We start from the raw sequence: 18,954 nt of genomic DNA, 5'->3' as shown, positions 1-18,954 counted from the left end.
CAGAGGCAGGAGATTTGCTTGAACCAGGGAGGTGGAGGTTGCAGTGAGCTGAGATTACACCACTGCACTCCAGCCTGGGTGACAGAGTGAAACTCCATCTTAATAATAATAATAATAATAATAATAATAATAATAATATGCATTTAAGGGTTTTCATCTTTCATAGCTTGGTAGCTTATTTCTTTCTAAATACTATTCTATTGTCTGGAGGTACCACAGTTTATTTATTCATTCACCTATTGTAGGACATTTTGGTTTCTTCTAAGTTTTGGCAATTATGAATAAAGCCACTATAAATATCCATGTCCAGGTCTTTGTGTGGATGTTTTCAGCACCTTTCAGTAAATACCAAGGAGTGTGAATGCTGGATCCTATGACCAGCGTAAGTTTAGTTTTGCAAGAAACCGTCGAACTCTCTTCCAAAGTAGCTGTACCATTTTGCCTTCCCACCATCAATGAATGAGAGTTCCTGTTGTTTCACATCATCACCAGCATATGGTGTTGTCAGTATTATAGATATGGGGCATTCTTATAGGTGTGTGGTGATATTTCATTGTTTTAATTTGTATTTTCCTAATGACATATGATATTGAGCATCTTTTTATCTCCTCACTTGCCATCTATATCTTCTTCCATGAGCTGTCCATGTCTTTTGCCCATTTTTAAATTGGGTTGTTCATCTTCTAATTGTGGAGTTTTTTTGTTGTTGTTGTTGGTTTTTTTTGTTTCTTACTTTCTTTCTTTCTTTCTTTCTTTTTTTGAGATGGAGTCTTGCTCTGTTGCCCAGGCTAGAGCGAAGTGGCAGGAACTTGGCTCACTGCAACCTCCACCTCCCGGGTTCAAACAATTTTCCTGCATCAGCCTCCCAAGTAGCTGGGATTACAGGTGCCCGCCACCAAACCCGGCTAATTTTTGTATTTTTAGTAGAGACGGGATTTCACCATCTTGGCCAGGCTGGTCTCAAACTCCTGACCTCATGATCCACCTGCCTCGGCCTCCCAAAGTGCTGGGATTACAGGCGTGAGCCACTGTGCCCTGCCTATTGTTGAGTTTTAAGAGTTCTTTGTGTATCATAGTCCTTTATCAGATATGTCTTCTGTACATATTTTCTCCTGGTCTGTGACTTGTCTTCTCATTCTCTTGGCATATGGTGGGAGTGTTTACACCATAGAATTGGCAAATACCACAAGTTAGGGCTTCTTCTTAGAGAGAGCCAATTATTAAATCTTTACCAGCACGTCACTGCATCTAGGCATCAACCATTTATTGACTGCACTGCATATCTTTGACCTAAAAAAGATTTGGTCTAGCAGAGGAGGCAGATCAGTGAATCACTGACAATGGTGTTCTGAGTATTGGGATAGAGGGAGAACAAGGTTACTACAGGAACATAAGTGGGGGTGGGGGAACGGGGGCACTTACATCAACCATAATATTGGGATGGTTTCCCAGTGGAGACCTGGAGCCCTGAGCTAATGATTTCAAAGTAAGTAACAGTTGTCTGGACCCACGCTGCCCTATAAGGCAGCTCTTTGCCACATGTGGCAATTTCAGTCATTTATACCAGGCATATTTCAAGTATTCAATAGCCACATGTGGCTAGTGGCTAGTGGCTACCACATTGGATGGAGCAGATACAGAGCTTTTCCCTCATCACAGAAAGTCCTAATAGACAGCCCTTGTCTAGACAAAACAGTGGGAGAAAGCATTCCAGGCAAAAAGAACAGAATGTAGGAGACCAGAGGTCTTAGAAAACATGCCTCATTCTGGGAACCACAGATAGTTCTAAGGGACTGAAGTAAAGAGTGTTTGGGACTGGAGAGGTAGAAGATGTGGCTGAACGAACAAGGCAGCAGGCAGATCACAAAAGGCCTTTAGTGCGAAGCTAAGGAGGTTAAACTCCAGCCTGAAGACTATGGAGAACCCAAAGATTTGAGCAGGAGCTTGGTATCATCAGCCTGTCTGCGAATAAGATCTCCCTGACTGCGTTGGAGGCTGTATTACAGGGGGCCAGCCAGAAAGGCAGGGAGACGAGTGCTGAGACTATTGCAGTCATCAGGGAAAGAAGTGAGAGAGGTTTGAAGTAAGGCAGTGGCTGTGGAATGGGTGCAGAGAAGGGACAGAGTTGAGAGAATGTGAAGGACCCGATGGCTGATTGTGTCTGACCCTGAAGAGGTGCTTTGTAAATATTTGTTGACTTAATGAATGAATTACAGCAAAACTTAAAACAATAGAAGTGAGTGCACAGCTACTAGGCTTCTAGGTAGTATCTACTGCACAAATGGTGTGGTGCAGAGGACACCCTTGCCTTGGTATGGACAGGCTGAAGTGTTGACTTTAGACTGAGAAAACAGCAAATATTTTGACCATGCTAATCAGTCCCCAGTGTGGGCTGTTGTGTTTCAGGTTAGCTGTGAGCTAACGATGGCATGTAGGTACATTCCCCTTCTTTTGAGCTCAAGGAGAAAGAGGCAACAGGGAAGAGTGAGAAGAGAGAGACGGAGGGAAGGGTTGGTATCCCTTGTTCTGTCTGATGGAGGGAGGGCTCGGCTGAGAAGAGAGCCAGCTGTGCTCATGGAAGATGCTGAGGGAGCCAGGGTCCAAGCAGTGCCTCTCAGAATTGGGCACAGGCTGGCCATTCTCCCCTCTACCTCTTCCCCAATCTCCTTGTCATGTGGACTGCAGGGCAGATTTGGTGTCCTGAAGGATTGGGTCAATTCACCAGCAGATAAATGTGGTGCATAGTGGATCCGCAGCATCTGGGAAGGCATTGTCAGCAGAGGATGCGTGGGGCAACAGAACACTGGAACCAGAGTAGGAAGCGTGAGTATACTGGTGCCTAAACACGTGAGAGATAACAGCCTCCCTCTCTTGGCCTCTCAGAAGTTAACTGGAGGAGAATCCGAAGACAGTGGCTAAAGCTACTGGAACCTGGACATCATTGTAAATATGACCTTGTTTGCATCTACAGGTCTGTTAGGCCCAAGACAGTTGAGTTACAAAATGAGTAAATAGATGAGATGAAGCAGGTCCAATCATTCCTTCATTAGAAAAATATTTACTGAGCCTCTGTGTGCCTTGCATAGTGCTAGATGCTGGGTGTACAATGGTTTACAAAACAGAGGTGACCCCTGCTCCGTGGAGCTTACAGCTCCAAGTTCACTTGAACTTGGGAGGCAGAGGCTGCAGTGAGCTGTAATAGCCATACAGCTCAGTCTGGCACCATCATCTGTGTACGTGCTATTCAGGAAAAGCACAGGATTCATAAGACCATCTTAGGGGAAGGATTATTTTAGATTAGAGGGCAGGGGAGGACTGTTTGGAAGTGACATTTAAACCCAGACCTGGGCCAGGCATGGTGGCTCACACCTATATTCCCATCACTTTGGGAAGCCAGGGTGAGTGGATCACCTGAGGTCAGGAGTTCAAGACCACCCTGGCCAACATGGTGAAACCCTGTCTCTACCAAAAATGCAAAAATTAGCCAGGTGTGGTGACATGACCCTGTAATCCCAGCTACTCGGGAGGCTGAGGTGGGAGAATCACTTGAACTTGGGAGGCAGAGGCTGCAGTGAGCTGAGACTGTGCCACTGCACTCCAGCCTGGGCAACAGAGCCAGACCCCATCTCAAAACAAAAACAAAAACAAAAACAAAAACAAAAACAAAAAACAAAAAACAGAAAACAAAAAACCAACCCAGACCTGGAGATGAACAAGAGTTAGCAGGGTTAGCAGGGGATGTGCCTCCAGGTAGCAAGAATGGCAAGTGTGAAAGGTTTGGGGACAAATCCTTGGCCATTTGGAGGCTGAAAGGCCAGTGGGGCAGGAGCATAAAAGCAAGGGGCAGGGGAGGCAGAAGAGGAGGCTGAGGAGGGAGGCAGGGGCCGGACTTCACAGGGCCACATTAGGACTTTGGACTTAAGCCTAAATCCAGTGGGAAGGGGAGTGATGTGATCGGATTTATTTTTACAAAGATCGCTTTGGCATCTGTGTGGAGGACCAGATTACGGGAGAGAATGCAGGGAGAAAGGTATGAAAGCTGACAGTTGCCAAAGGAAGAGATGATGGTGGCATGGCCAAGGTGATGGAGTAAAGTGGAGGAACTGAGGAGGCATTTTTTAAAAAGCATTGAGACAATCAAGGTTTTTCTCACACACTTGCCTTGGTATAGAGGGGCTAAAATGTTGGCTTAGACAAGGCAAACAGTAAATATTTTGGCCATGCTAATCTGTCCCGAGTGTGGGCTGTTGTGTTTTAGGTTAGCTGGGAGCACAGTCCCCTGCCTCAACCAGGGCCACATCTGACCAGAGTCAATTTTATGACTGAAGATTTCCTGACAAAGCTTTTACAACTTCTGCAATCTCTGCTGATGTTTAAAATAATTACTATTAGGAAATAGTAATTATTATAGGAAATTCCTGTTTGCATTTCATCTGAATTCCTCTCACATTACATTTTTTTAATTCTAGAGATAAGGATGCTAAAATAATAAGTCACCTGGGTAGCCAAATATGAATGACGTCATAATGACCGTTCTGAATTGCATCTGTCCCAAAGCCAAAGTGACCTATTCGTTAGCAGCGAAGAAAAAATGGCCGAATATCCTCAGAAGAAGAGCCCAATTAGAGTTGTGCTCACTGCTAAGTTCTTTGCCTTTGCTCCTTAACATGTGGACCTAGCAACAGCACCCAGTAGCTTGTTAGAAATTCAGGACCAAGTTGGAAGCTGCATTTCAACACGGTCCCCAGGCAATTCGTAGGCACTTTAAATTTTGAGAAGCACCATGGTTAGATCACCCTAGGGCCATCTAAAAGTGGGTGGGCAGTGGCAGGTGCCAGATATTTGAAATGCGGTGAGGCACAGCAAGTGGTTAGGAAAACCCAACAACTGGTCCAACAGGACCTGGCTTTTCTCTGGAAGCTTCAAGTTCCCAAGTCACATAGAGTGTTGCAGCCAAACTCGGGGACAATGTGTTTGTTGGCTGCTGGTTCTGTGGCTGGTGAGAGGAGCTGGCTCAACCCTCCTCTGGTGCTGAAATGCTGTCAGGTAGAAACTAGGGCCCGTGGGGACACATGCGGAGGGGCTCCCCCTGGCAGCACCAGAGGCTGAGGGGGGTTGAGCTCTCTTTCCCCCTCCCCTCCATAATGTGGACAGTTTGGTTCTTGTCCTCTTTACCTGGCCGCTAAGAGCCCTCATTCCTTGTAGGTGGTTTGGGTGACTTTCCCGCTTCCTTCTGAATGGAGGCTGATGAGCAAGGGAAAGATGCTTTGGCATCTCAGTACAAAATACTCTTCAGTAGCTTTTGCTACAACAGAACACCGAGCTCCAGGGGTTCTGAAAGCTCTGCTCATACCGCCTGCCTACGGGGTCAGCTCCTGCAGGCCGATGACCCCTGTCACCCCCTGGTCTCGTTCTCACTCTCTACCTGAGGGGTATGCAACGCAGACACCAGACACGGCCTGGCCAAACAAGGACACTTTGTTTTATTACTGCTTTCCTGAGAAGCCTTTCAAGGCACAAAGTCTCCACCAGAATCGAATCACATACCTCCGTCTAACTAGAGCTGGTCCTCCCACATCATCAGACAACTGGATGGAGTTTGTGGGCTGTTTAAAGCATATGGTTTGTAAATACTGTAAAATCAAACATTACTTATGGCTTTTATTTACTGCAGCATTTCACATTACCTAGCACCAAAATAGCTGAGGAGGTCTTCTCTGCCTTTGTTCTTTCTCCTGTTCTTTTCCTTATGCTTCTTTGCTCCCTGCCTTCCGCAGCAGCGGTTTCTCTGCTCTGATTCTTCCTCTCCCCACTGCCCAGCCCTCCTCCTGCACCATCTGCCCACCAACTCCACACCGTTCTCTTCCCTGGCCCCACTCACCCTCTCCCTTTCCTCCCCCTGTGCCTCTCACGCTGCCCCTTGATCCTCCTGGATGTCTTAGCTACCTTTCCCTCTCTCTGCTTTCACTTCCAAAAGCTGCAGGTGCTCCTTACTCACACTCGACTCCCTCCTGCCTCCACCAGGCTATTTTCTTTTCCCTCCCAATACCCACCACAGAGTTCCTTTTTTCCTCTTTCCTCTAAAGGAAACATGAGGATCAGAGAACTGTAGAATCACAGTCACAAGGGACACTGCTTGTGCTACACTGGCAGTCACTTCTGAGTCAGAAAATCTTTCTTCTCCGATCACCTTCAATAACGGCTGCCCCCAACCCCATCCCTCCTTAGAGCAAGAGAGGTTGGGGAAGAGAAAACTTCCAGGCTCCCTCACCAACACTTTCACCCCCTTTCCTGTCTCAGCACACACACAGACACACAGATGCATGCACGCACATGTCCACACATGCAGGAATGCACACATATGCATACACAAGCACACATGTATACACACAGGAGTGCACAAATATGTGCGTGCAAGCACACATGTGCACACCTGCAGGGGTACACACCCATACCCACAAACTCCGAGTGCACTTGGTGCAGAACGGGTTTGCACCCGGCCTCCCCTAAGGCCCTGAGCTTCCTCTCTACTGTCTCCTTCGCCCCTGGCCAGGCTGACCTGTGCTGTGCACCTCCAGAGTGAGCCCTTGGACACATGATTCTAGCGTGATGGGATGGAGAGCGACAGCCATGGTGGGGTTCCTTGCTCCAGGTGCAACTCTTGGGCAGCAGGAGGACAGCAGTGGTCAGACTGAACAGGAAGCTGGTGTCAAAGCCAGCTTCCACCTGGGGTCATGTTTAGTCAATCAATTCATAGTCAGGCTCCTATCATCAAGTGGGCTTCTTTCCATGCCACTGGGCAAGGCATCTTCAAAAGAGAAAATCAAGAGGGAAAATGAACAGAGCCCTGAAGACATACCCTTGTAACCATAAAACAATGACTGTAAAATTCAGCATTCTCAGCTAGAGCTTCTTCAAGCACTTTACGGAATGTAGGATGCTATTTCCTTCATAGCTGGGGAAACAGAGGTTCCACTGAGTAAGCTGCTTGGGGATTGTGGAAAATCCCTCGATTTCCCAGTACTTCGCTCCTCACATTGAAACATTCATTTGAAAGACCCAAGGAATATTAATTTGAACAGAGATGAATGTCTCAGCTAGGTGTTGACTAGGAGGCCAGCCTTGCACAGGCAGGGTCTCTCCAACCCCGTCCTGCCTTCACATCCCCGCTCAGACTCGCTTGGCTGCCCGCAGCACTGGGCTGCACCTTAATTCCTAATGCAACAGTGCCCACCCCTTGGAGAACAGGAGGAGAGCTGCTCTGCAAGCCCTCCAGGTGAGCGGGGCTTGCAGGTCAGCTAGAACGTGCCCCACCAAGTTCAACCCCACCCTGTTGTTCTGTGTCCAGTGCCGAGGTGTGGTCTCTGCTTAGCTGTTCTCCGTGAAAATTCCCAAGACAAGGAGGAAGCAGTGACAGCTGAAGGCCAGGACAAAACTCCATTTCATTTCCCTGCCCCCCTCCCAACTCCCCCACTGCCTTCCACACACCCCTGAGGGGGGCAGAAAAGCAAGTGTCAATATTATTCTCCACCTGAGTTCCCTTTTGCATCAACTAATTACCAGCCCAATTGCCAATAAATTACTAGTATAAAAAGTTGTGTGTGTACACAGGCAGATGTAGATAGATGTATGTATATATAGTCATGGAGTCCAGCCTTTTTTCCTTGCCCTCTTTCTTGTGGGCAGCTCCAGACAAAAAGCTTCTGTCCCCTGAAGAGTTTATCGGGTCATGGGTGCCACGTAGTTGGCAGGGAAGAGGCCCAGCTTGTTGTGCAGGCGGCCGGTCCACCAGGATGGGTTGGAGCTATCCAGGACCTCCACCACCTCCCCGCTGTGGAACCCCAGCTCGTCATCCTCCAGGGCCTCAAAGTCATACAGCGCCCGGGCCCACCGCACTCGCTGTTGGGGGAAGCACAGAAGAGGCTCTGCTGAGCTGTGGGCTGGGCAGGCAGGGGAGGGTCTGCTGGCTCCTCCCACCACATCCAAGTCTTTGAGAGCAACATTCCCTGAAGGCTGACCCCTCTGCAGCTTAAAAAAACTTTTTTTGTAGAGATGGGGTCTTGCTATGTTGCTCAGGCTGGTTTTGAACCCTTGGCCTCAAGAAGTCCTCCTGCCTTGGCCTCCCAAGTAGCTGGAACTACAGGTGTGAGCCACCATGCCCGGCTACCCTGCTGCAATTTAAATCAGATACCTATGCACAGGCCTGAGCAAGAAGTTCCCAGAACGCACCAGCGTCACTCTGGAGACCCAGGACTTTTACCAACAGATGTTATTGTCCAAAGCCCCAATAGACTCCCTGAGAACCACTCTCTCCACATCAATAGGTGGTATTTTTATCTTGAGTGACAAACAGAAGGGCAACATGCCCCAAACAACAGCCCTTGGTGTTAGGGCAATCAAGTCACAAGTCAAGATGGATCACAGGCCAGGCACGGTGGCTCATGCCTGTAATCCCAGCACTGTGGGAGGCTGAGGTAGGAGGATTGCTTGAGCCCAGGAGTTCCAGACCAGCCTGGGCAATATAGCAAGAGCTTATCGCTACAAATAATATACCTAGCTACTTGGGAAGCAGAGGCAGGAGGATCGCTTGAGCCTAGGAGTTTGAATCTGCAGTGAGCCATGATTGTGCCACTGCACTTGAGCCTGGGAGACAGAGTGAGACCCTGTCTCAAAAAACAAAAAAAAGATGCAATGATAAAGGCAATGGTAAAGGACTATGATAAAGATGATAAAGAACTAGAACTGAGAACTATGAGAACAGGGAAGGCCTGGCACCAGACTGAGATCAACAGACTGGACGGTGCTGGCTCAGCCCCAGGCCTCCCCAAACATTCCATCACCTCTCGTTGATCTGTGTGTGCATTTTTGTTTTGTTTTGTTTTGTTTTTTGAGACGGAGTTTCGCTCTTGTTGCCCAGGATGGAGTAAAATGGCGCAATCTCGGCTCACTGCAACCTCTGCCTCCTGGGTTCAAGCAATTCTCCTGCCTCAGCCTCCCAAGTAGCTGGGATTACTGGCATCTGCCACCATGCCTGGCTAATTTTTGTATTTTTAGTAGACGTGAGGTTTCACCATGTTGGCCAGGCTGGTCTCGAACTCCTGACCTCAGGTGATCCACCTGCCTTGGCCTCCCAAAGTGTTGGGATTACAGGTGTGAGCCACCGTGCCCAGCCAGATCTGTGTGGTTTGAGTCTCTCCTGCCTCATCTCCTCCATTGACCTCTGTCCCAAGGCCTTTCCCCAGGGATCCCAGAGAAGGACAGTTCCCATACCCCTGCCGCCTGGAGCTGCACTGGGTCTGTGTGTCTCCGATGCATGAGGGCCGCATTCATTTCACTGCCCAAGCCGGTGCCACAATGCCCATCATTTATGTCAAGGCTGCCTCCTCGGCGTTCCTAGAAACATACAACAGAAGACTGGTCACCCCACTGCCAGGACATCTCCCACCGGTTCCCCCAGTGCCTTGCTCAGATGCCATCCACAGAGCCGGTATATTCCAGGAATACTTACTGATAATGACAATAAACCCTCCACGTTGAGGAGGACCTAAGGTCTAAAGGCACCTTAGATTCTGAAGGCAAAGAAGGCAAAGGCAGGTTTTATTTATTCAGTCAAGAAATATTTATCAGGCACCTACCATGTTTCCAGTAGCAGACACAAGGGAAATATAGCTGGAAAGAGAAGGTCTCTGGCTTCATGGAGCTTCCATTTAGAGGGGGAACCATGCACATTTAAGTGGTAAGTGAGCAGAGAGAAGAAATGTCTGTATCTGCCCGGGAAATCAAGGAAGGCTTCACAGAGGAGGTCATGCTTGAACTCCAGCTTAGAGGGGTAGGACTGCCCAGGGAGGGGCTCATCAGGCAGAGAGATCAGCATATAAAACGCCACAAAGGCATGAGAGGAAACGCAATGGACCATTCGGGTAACTAAGGCAGCGTGGGGGGTTGCTGGAATGTGTGTTTGCACGGGGAGTTGGCAGGGAGGCAGCAGGGACGAGGCTGGGGAAATAGATTCTGGCAGCTCACAAAGGACTTTGTGTGCCCTGCTAAGGAATTCAGGAATGATGTTATCTGGCCGTATTGTCCATCTCAGTAAGCCGCCTGAAATCCCATCGGGAACAAGGGTGGAGGGAGATAAATAAGTAATAAACAAGGCTCTGTTGTGGGTATTAAGCCTTTTTCTCTTGTGGATCTGACAGCCAGATGGGCTAAGGGGCATGAATAGATTTGGAATTGTGCTGATAGGAAAATGAAGCAATTGTTTACTGGGTCCTCAGGGGAAGTGTGTGTGTGTGTGAGTTTAAGTGTGTGTGTGTGTGTGAGACAGTGTGTGTGTGTGTGTGTGTGTTCAGGTGGGAGCCATTTAATTCATAGAGATGTCTTTGCCAAGAACAGTTTCCCTATTTCTGCCATTTGGGGGGGTCCAGGGTCTTCATCATGAACTCTCTGAGAACTCAAGAGGCTGGGCCAGGCCTGGAGGGGAGGCAGGTTCTCCTTTCCACCGTACTGTGCCCACTGCCTTCTTTCCAGATACCTGGTGGAAATGGTGGTGCTGCAGATATCGCTGCTGTGGGGGCTGCTGCAGCTGCTGGGGCGCTGGGGCATATTGCGGAGGCTGTGGCTGGTGCTGGTGCTGCTGCAGGGGAAGGGTCGGGGGGTGATCCGACAGCTTCCGGTTCATCGAAGGTCGGATTTCTTCTCCCACAGCCCCACTGAGGTGTGGGCCTCCCTGGGACCTCCGGTCCAGGCTGTTGCCCCGGTGACCCTGGGAGAAAGAACAGAGATGCTGCAGATGCATCCTCCTCTCTGATCGTCTGGCCCTACCCTACCCTCGGGCAGTTGTTCCCAGACCCTGCTCATCTGGCTCCAAGAAATAGCTGGTGGGGTGGGGGCAGCTAAAAGATAATTGATGCTTTAGACCTTCACATTTTCCAAAGTGGCCTCTGCATTCTCAGATCCTCCCAGTTTTAGGAGTGCAGGTCTCTGGTTCACAGACTAACACTTTTTGCCTGGTAGCCATTTAGTCCATTTCCAGGGCGCTCGTTTTTTCTCTGTGTAATCAAGCTGAAATATTCCATTTTACTGATACAATGCCACCCCTTCTTATCACATGTTGCCACACCACTGGACAATCTACCCTCCAGATAAGCTCCACTGTTGACTTTGCATGATTTTGAACTGTCATTTACAGCCTGGTGATAGAGACCCAAACAGCAACATTCTTGCAACACCATGGGAACCAGGCCTGCCGCCGGGCTGGACGTGGGGGAAGAAGTAAGGCCTTTTTCCCTAATGTTACAACAACCTTACAAATCAGAAATACCGTATTGTTAGTTTCATTTAACAAACAATTATGTAGGACCCTGAGGGCAGCATATACCAGGCACTGTTCTAAGCGCTTTACAAATATCAACTCATTTAATCCCATTTAATGCAATTTTATATTGCTTCTCTGAATGCCCATCCTAGTGAGTTAATACCTCTGTCCGTTTCCTGGTTAGAGTGATTCACAAGGTCTTGGCTAGCCTTTGTTTTCCTTTCTGAACTTCTGTGTGCATTTGGTGGTAACTTCTTTTCTCCTTTGGCAGTAACTTCTCAGGCTTAAAAGCAACTAGGGACTCGAAAAAGGAGGATTTTCTTGACTTCCCCAAAGCACACATTGCTTTCACAGTCTCAATATCTTTTCAAATAACCTGTCCCTAGGATTTCAGCTATTCTAGTGAATGCTTCTTCCTATGATACCTGTCTCTTATAACCATGTTATTTCCTTTGAAAAATAGTTCATAAATTGGTGTGTGTGTGTGTGTGTGAGTGTGTGCATGTGTGAATTTACTTATGGGAGGCAAGTTAACATGTTCTTAGTGTTTAATATGGACCAGACTCTGGTAGTGCTTAGCTGTATTAAGTCATTTAATCCTCACAACAGCCCAGTGAGGGAGGTTTTATTGCTCTCTCCATTCTACAGATGAGAAAACTGATACTCAGATGGTTTCTTAACTTGGCTAGGTAATACAGGTAGCTAAGCGATTAAAGCAGGATTTCATACCAGGTCTGTCTGACGCATTTCCTTTTAAAGCAATAGTCTGTATTGCAAACAGTTGCAACAGCAATAATTCCAAGTGCAGTTTTCTCCTCCCATGTCCTCCCTACCCCCAATCCCATCATAAAACTCCACATGCTGATTTAACTCCTGAACTCTAGGCTGTTCCCTAATGTCCCTGTCTGTAGCACCCCCAACTCCTTCATCCTTGGGCAACTCTTGAGCTAGGTTGAAAACTTTGGTGTAGCAATGTCTATGAATAACAAAAAAACAGCACCTGTGGTAAGAGCTGATGCTTGCTGAGCGCAGTGTGATGAGGAATGACATGAGGCGTGGGATACATTATCTTCTCCAACCTTCACAGCCATTCTGGGAGGTAGATATTACCATTGTCCCTACTTTATGGATGAGGAAACTGAGGCGCAGAGAACTTTCCAAAGTCACACGACTAGGAAGTGTTAAGTTGAGATCTGACCTCAGAGCTCTGAGCTCTGTCTTTCAGTATACTCAGAGGATCTACCCATCCTATGCATTTTTCCTGGTGGTTCATGTGAGAACTCAGGCTGCCTAAAATCTCTAGATTGGGGTCGACTGGATCTGGAGCATACCTGGTCTTCTCGGGTTCTGTCTCTAAGGAAGATCTGCTTCTGTCTGGAGATGGAATTTGTCCTGTAGTAGTCTACCAGCTTATTTAGGGATGGAAACTTCTCAGTCCACAGAAAGTAATTACCCTTGTTGTCTCGCATGACCTTGAAGTGTTGAACGTCATCCTCATGCCTGGAGATCAAGGCAAAACAAAATTGTATGTTACACGGTGATAATGTCACCACCTCCAGGCTGCTCACATCTGGGATGGTGGAGTTCTCTTTGAGCAGGAGATGTAGATATGGATGACTCACTCATCACTGGGCAGGTGGGCCAGCCCAGTCAGGCTTCGGCAGGAACTTTGTAGGATGGACCACTTAGGATACAGGCTATGCTAGACGGGATTTACATCAGCAGAAGGTAATCAGATGAGCTAAAATTTGTTTTGGACACTGGAACTAACCTTTTACAAGAAAAGCATGTTCCAAGTGACTTAACGACAAAGAGATCAAAGACCTTTTCACAATGTTTATTCGCAAGATGTCAACAGGGGTATTTCAAGCTCCTATTATCTTTCTGTTACCAGAAATTCTTTGAACCATCTCCTTTAAGCCCATAAGCTAGCACTGGCAGGTAAGAAGCTACTCTCTTTCCTAAGAAATATGTCACATTTTTTCTCTATGTAATAAGGATCTCTTGATCTTGGTTTATGTTTTGCATAAATAAGGTTACAAAGTGTTTTCAGCTTTTGGTGAAATAGCTTTGTATGAAATACAGAGTTTTTGTTTGTTTGTTTGTTTTGTTTTTTTGAGATGGAGTCTCACTCTGTCGCCCAGGCTGGAGTGCAGTGGTGTGATCTCTGCTCACTGCAACCTCCGCCTCCCAGGTTCAAGCGATTCTCCTGTCTCAGCCTCCTGAGGAGCTGGGATTACAGGCACCCACCACCAAGTCTTTAGTAAAGACGGGGTTTCGCCATGTTGGTCAGGCTGGTCTTGAAGTCCAGACCTCCGGTGATCCACCTGCCTTGGCCTCCCAAAGTGCTGGGATTACAGGTGTGAGGCACTGCGCCCTGTGAAATGATAGAGTTTTAATTGGCAAGGATGTTGGAGATTGTTTAGCCTTACTTCTCCATTTTACAGATGAGGACACTGAGGCTCACAGAGGTGCAGGGGCTTGGTCAAGGTCACTGCTGAGTAAGGGCTGAGGCCAGAACCCTGAGTCTCTGACTCCAGTCTAGTGAGCTTGGCCTGTCACGCCACCTAAACATGATAACTTCTTTTTTCTTTCAAATGAGTTGGTTTAATTTCAGGTGATACAAAGTTTAGGGTAGAACAACGACCAAAGAGCAGATTCTGGCAAGATTCTGAGCTGGTTTTACTTTAAATTCACAGTTATGGTAGGAATGACTTAGTGAAAACAACTAAAGAGATGATGAGCCACTGGAAGATTTTTTTTTTTTTTTTTTTACAAAAGTTTATTCTTAAATGTACAACAGCTCCAAGACGACACTTAATTCCAACTATAGGTGGCAAAAGATATTATAGGAGGGAATAGAGAGGTTTAAATACGGATGAAATAAAGGGTCACCGTCTCCTTAGGCACAAGGAACAGCTTATTTTTTGCCAGATTTCTTAATTCCACCTGTGGCCAGAGGCCCCTTCCCCACGACCTTCGCTTTTAGCACCTCGAGTTTCTTCTGCTCCTCTTTTTGTTTCTGCTTGAAAGCCTTCTCTTCCTCGTCCATCTCCTTGGCCTGCTTCTTGGGCTGTTTCAGTGCCTTCTTCTTGCCACCTTCGTGGCTGGACATGGCGCCTGCCGCCCCTTCCCCAGACCCTGCCACTGGACGATAACTTCTTTTAGATCAGCACCTTTTGTTGCCAGTCTGGACTCACAAGTGATGGGACACATTCGAACCAGGGCTAGAGAAAATGGATTTTATCCATCTAGGAAGGGTGGGCTGAGCCTTTACCATTAGATCCAGTTTTACTTCATTGCCAAGTCATTCTCTTTTGGATGTAAAGTTTATTTTTCAAACAGACATACATTTATATCTAAAAATAAACTGGCACTAGTGATGCCAATTGCCTGATGTAAAAGAAAGGTCAAGAATTTTAAAGGGTCTCGGAGAGTAAAGATACCTCTGAGAGTAAGTGGAGGTTTCTTTTTGAGTCAGAGTCTCGCTCTGTCGCCCAGGCTGGAGTGCAGTGGCGTGATCTCTGCTCACTGCAAGCACCACCTCCCAGGTTCATGCCATTCTCCTGCCTCAGCCTCCCAAGTAGCTGGGACTACAGGCGCCCGCCACCACGCCCGGCTAAGTTTTGTATTTTTAGTAGAGACGGGGTTTCATCGTGTTAGACAGGATGGTCTCGATCTCCTGACCTCATGATCCGCCCACCTCAGCCTCCCAAAGTGCTGGGATTACAGGCGTGAGCCACTGCGCCTGACCATGGAGGTTTCTTAGGGATGGATTTAGGGACCTGTGTTAAGAAGGAGATGGAAATTCTGACCCTCAATCTCATCTTATGTGCTGGGATTTGCTCATAGCTGGGTGAAGCCACAGGTTGTACAAGTGGCCTCTTGCTTGACTGATTTCGGGTGGTAATCAACATATTGCAATCACTTTGTGGTCTTCCCCTTGGTTTTGGCCACCAACAGATACTTTCTTCATTCTAAGACAACATGGATCAACTCAAAGTCATTATCCTTCACATCCAGGTGAGGAGGAGAAAATATTCTTGTGATATTATAATTTTTCATCCACCACCTCAAAGAACTCAGAGTGTGAAACATTGACCCTTTTACTCTCATAAGCTGTAAGGATGGGTGTGAGGGTTGCAGCTGGTTATCTGGGTCTACAAGGAGAGGATGGCCTGACCATTGTCTCAAGCCTGAAGAGGAACAAAGGAAAGGATGCGACTCAGGGCGCTGGACTCCAAAATCTGGTGTTTCAGGCCCTTAACAAATGCTGAGTGATAGAACTACAATTAGCTCTTAATTATCTGTGCCCATGACAGATGTAAAAATAATTAATAATGATTTTGCTTTGGAAAATATTATACTACATTTCTGCAAAGACGTGATAAGGATTACGGTAATTGTCACCATAACTAGAAGCTTCATCGCCTGAATATCAGGGGAAGACTTCGGTAGAAGTCAAGGCCTACTGTTTTGTAGAACTCACTTTAATTAAGGAAATATAAACCATAGTTCTGGGTCCGGGCACAGTGGGTCGCGCCTGTAATCCTAGCACTTTGGGAGGCTGAGGCGGGTGGATTACATGAGGCCAGGAGTTCAAGACCAGCCTGGCCAACATGACGAAACCCCGTCTCTACTGAAAAAAACCACACACACACAAATTAGCCAGGCGTGGTGGTGCGAACCCATGGTCCCAGCTACTCAGGAGGCCAAGGCACGAGAATTGCTTTGAACCTGGGAGGCGGAGGTTGCAGGGAGCCGAGATTGCGCCACTGCACTCCAGCCTGGGCGACAGAGCGAGAGTCTGTCTCAAAAAACCAACGAAACCACAAAAACCATAGTTTCTAGCTGAAAAAGCCAGAGTCATCTTCATGCAAACCAAAGGCCCAAGAGATACCCCTCAGTCTAACAAATTACTTGGTCAAGTTTATGATGGGGTAAAGAGGGGAGGCTTAAGAAATAGATTTGACTTGTAATATATATACACGCATGTTAAATATATGTATAATTGTTTTTTCTAATAATATATGTATATAATATATGTAAATAATTTTTTTCTCTTGAGACAGGGTCTTGCTCTGTCACCCAGGCTAGAGTGCAGTGGTGCGATCGATCTTGGCTCACTGCAACCTCAACCGCCCAGCTCCAACAATCCTTTAACTTCAGCCTCCCAAGTAGTTGGGACCACAGGCATGCGCCACTGCACTGGGTTAATTTTTTATTTTTAGTAGAGATGAGGTCTCACTAGTTGCCCCGGCTGGTCTCCAACTCCTTGGCTTAAAGCATTCCTCCCAACTCAGCCTCCCAAAGTGCTGGGATTAGAGGCATGAGCCACGGCGCCCGACCCTGACTTGTAATATATGTTAATGGAGCGAAATTTCATTAATTAAGACCTAACAAGATTAGAATTTGTGATACATCAATATTGGCCTGAACTAAAGTTAACCATTCTCCAAGCTATGAAAATAAAGTTTTTACTGAAGAAAAGAGTTTAAGCAAGATTGCAAGGGCAATGCTAAAGAGACCACTTTAAAGGTATGTATGCATACAAATTGTTGACCTGTTATTTTTAAGTCCTTCCTACCTATCCTTTCAAATATCCATTCTTTCTAAACAGCAAAGTGGCCACAGTTTATTACTTGAGATTGGATTTCTGTCCTTAAAACAAAGCTTTATGCCTTTCAAAATATATTGAATAAACCAGATCGGTATTTCCTGCCAATAACTTGACAGTAAGGTTTTGCTGTACTTCTCCTGATCTGCTAACAGCATTATATTCTTGCAGTTTCACATGTGGTGAAGTCTGATACGTGACTTGCGATCCTCAACATGCTGACCACACACAGTGTGTTCCGAACTGGGCTTCTGAGTTTGGGGCTGTGTAATGTCTACGCGTGGACTGAGTCACTTCCTATGGGTTGCTGCACCTTAGTGAGATTTCGCTGTTACAGTCCTCCCCCACTCCTGGCCCTCTGTTCTGTGGTTTTCGGTCTTGCTGTACTGTACTGTGTTGAAGTAGCCTTTCTTTTTGTTCAGCTGCCTACAACTATACATGTATTTGTTGGGGCTCAGAAAACGACACCCCTTGGCATGCTGAGTGCTTCGAACCAAAGGAGATGGGAAGGTTTCAGAAGCAGCCTTGGAAGCAAAGTCTTCCTTTGGCCTTCTCCTGCCCTCCTGTCTCCCGCTCCTCTTTCTCCCCCTGAGTGAGTCATAGAAATTAGAATTCCTCTTCCCCACAGTGGGTCAGAGAGACTAGAAGGGTCACTATGGGGGAGGCCAAGGCAGGAGGATTACTCGAGGCCAGGAGTTTGAGATCAGCCCAGGCAACACAGTAAGACCTAGTCTCTACAAAGAAATAAGTTAAAAAAATATTAGCCAGGTGTGGTGGTGTGCACCTGTATCCCCAGCTACTTGAGAGGCTGAGGTGGGAAGATGGCTTGAGCCTGGGACACAGAGGCTGTGGTGAGCAATGATTGCGTCACTGCACTCCAGCCTGGGCAACAGCTGTCTCCAAAAAAAAAAAAAAAAAAGAAGACTTGGGACAGGCCTTGTTCAGTTTCCTACCTCAGTCTGTTACCTTAGATCAAACCCCCTTTGTCCAATCCCATTTCTACAGGGCTGTCTGTCCTTTGACAAACCTAAGCATAAAAATAGACGGCTTTCCCTGGGTCTTGGGTCTTCATTTCTGAAGGCTTCTGTGTCACACAAGTCTTTGATTAAATAAATGTGTCCACTCTCCTCTTGTTAACCTGTCTTGTAGGAGTGTCAGCTGTGACTCCTCTGATGGGCAAAGAAAGGTGCCACAACTTTTCCGCCCCTGTATATCCTACAGCAGTGACTTGAGATTTCTATTTTTCTCTGACTCTTCTTCAGATATGCATCAATCATAAAAGAAAAGGTTAAGATTTAAACCCCCAGATGGATCTGGACAAGTGGGAGTTCTCCTCCTCCTATCCCTCCTTCCTTCCACAAATACTCACTGAGTGTCTCTCTTTTATGCAAGACACTGTTAAAGGCATAAAGATGAAGTAGAGGAAAATCCTGCCCTTCCAGAAGCACCTGGGCTAGAAGGGGAGGCAGATGGGCGTAGAAATAATTTCAAACACACACCAGTGTTCTAAAGAGTGGTGTGTGCATGTTTTGGGAAGGCACTGGGAGCAGCAGGTTGTGAAGCTGCTGCCATGCTTGGCCCCTAGGCCACCATGCTTCTGACCATTGGGTCATATTCCAGAGGTCCCTTCATGGCTTCAGCATTCTGTGAGGTTAACAGGCCGAGAAGGGCCAAGGCAGTGTCAGGAATGGTCAGTACCTGACAGAGATGGAGAAGTCCCCTGGGGAGCTCTGGCTGGCCCGGATGATGAAGAAGCCAACCTCCTTGCCCATGAGTAAGTTCTCTGCCTGGTGTCGAGAGAGGCCTTCGTGAAACCATCTGTGGGGGCGAGATCAAACAAAAGGATCAGGATGAGACACAGGAGTGACAAGAGGGAGACGTGGAGAAGAGGTGACCCAGAGGGAAAGAGGCTGGGGACTCTGTACAGTAGGGAGCAGAGAGAGACCAGGTGCTGTTTGAAATCAAACCAGTGCTCCAGGCAGCTTTCAGGAAAGGCGAGGGAGCATTCCCCTTGATTCACCCT

General features: G+C 47.2%; 2 protein-coding genes across 10 annotated transcripts in view, besides 1 other annotated feature; both read right to left on the bottom strand.

The window, feature by feature from the left end:
* Nucleotides 1-5,082: 5,082 nt before the first annotated feature.
* The window catches only part of GRAP2 (GRB2 related adaptor protein 2), a 79,902-nt gene continuing 66,030 nt past the window's right edge, over nt 5,083-18,954 (bottom strand). For 5 of the 9 annotated variants that reach the window (XM_047441607.1, NM_004810.4, XM_047441608.1 and 2 more), the window contains 5 exons: nt 18,630-18,749; nt 12,646-12,814; nt 10,532-10,762; nt 9,271-9,393; nt 5,083-7,899 (listed from right to left, as the gene is read on the bottom strand). In XM_047441607.1, the coding sequence (XP_047297563.1) occupies nt 7,720-7,899; nt 9,271-9,393; nt 10,532-10,762; nt 12,646-12,814; nt 18,630-18,749 (823 nt within the window). In that variant the 3' untranslated portion in view covers nt 5,083-7,719. The remainder of the gene's footprint in view (nt 7,900-9,270; nt 9,394-10,531; nt 10,763-12,645; nt 12,815-18,629; nt 18,750-18,954) is intronic. The other 4 variants (XR_007067995.1, XR_007067996.1, NM_001291825.1 and 1 more) reach the window with 3 other exon arrangements.
* Nucleotides 13,399-13,576: a silencer, noted in NCBI's record as "fragment chr22:40361232-40361409 (GRCh37/hg19 assembly coordinates)". NCBI's record gives its function as "represses an EF-1alpha promoter that drives an FKBP-Casp9 reporter gene in an ReSE screen in phorbol 12-myristate 13-acetate-treated (for megakaryocytic differentiation) K562 erythroleukemia cells {active_cell/tissue: K562(+PMA)}" and the evidence as "EXISTENCE:reporter gene assay evidence [ECO:0000049][PMID:32094911]".
* TMA7B (translation machinery associated 7 homolog B) lies at nt 13,899-18,407 on the bottom strand. Its single transcript, NM_001396013.1, has 2 exons — nt 17,885-18,407; nt 13,899-14,884 (listed from the first exon to the last, which is right to left on the bottom strand). Exon 2 carries the CDS (start codon nt 14,427-14,429, stop codon nt 14,235-14,237), a length of 195 nt encoding a protein of 64 aa, NP_001382942.1. The 5' UTR covers nt 14,430-14,884; nt 17,885-18,407; the 3' UTR covers nt 13,899-14,234.

The sequence above is a fragment of the Homo sapiens genome, chromosome 22 (genome assembly GCF_000001405.40).
Source record: "Homo sapiens chromosome 22, GRCh38.p14 Primary Assembly".
Classification (NCBI taxonomy): domain Eukaryota; kingdom Metazoa; phylum Chordata; class Mammalia; order Primates; family Hominidae; genus Homo; species Homo sapiens.
This window is presented reverse-complemented; position numbering and strand designations above follow the sequence as displayed.

Excerpts from the sequence above, each read along its gene's own strand:
- TMA7B (NM_001396013.1), bottom strand. The coding sequence starts at position 14,429 with ATGTCCAGCCACGAAGGTGGCAAGAAGAAGGCACTGAAACAGCCCAAG.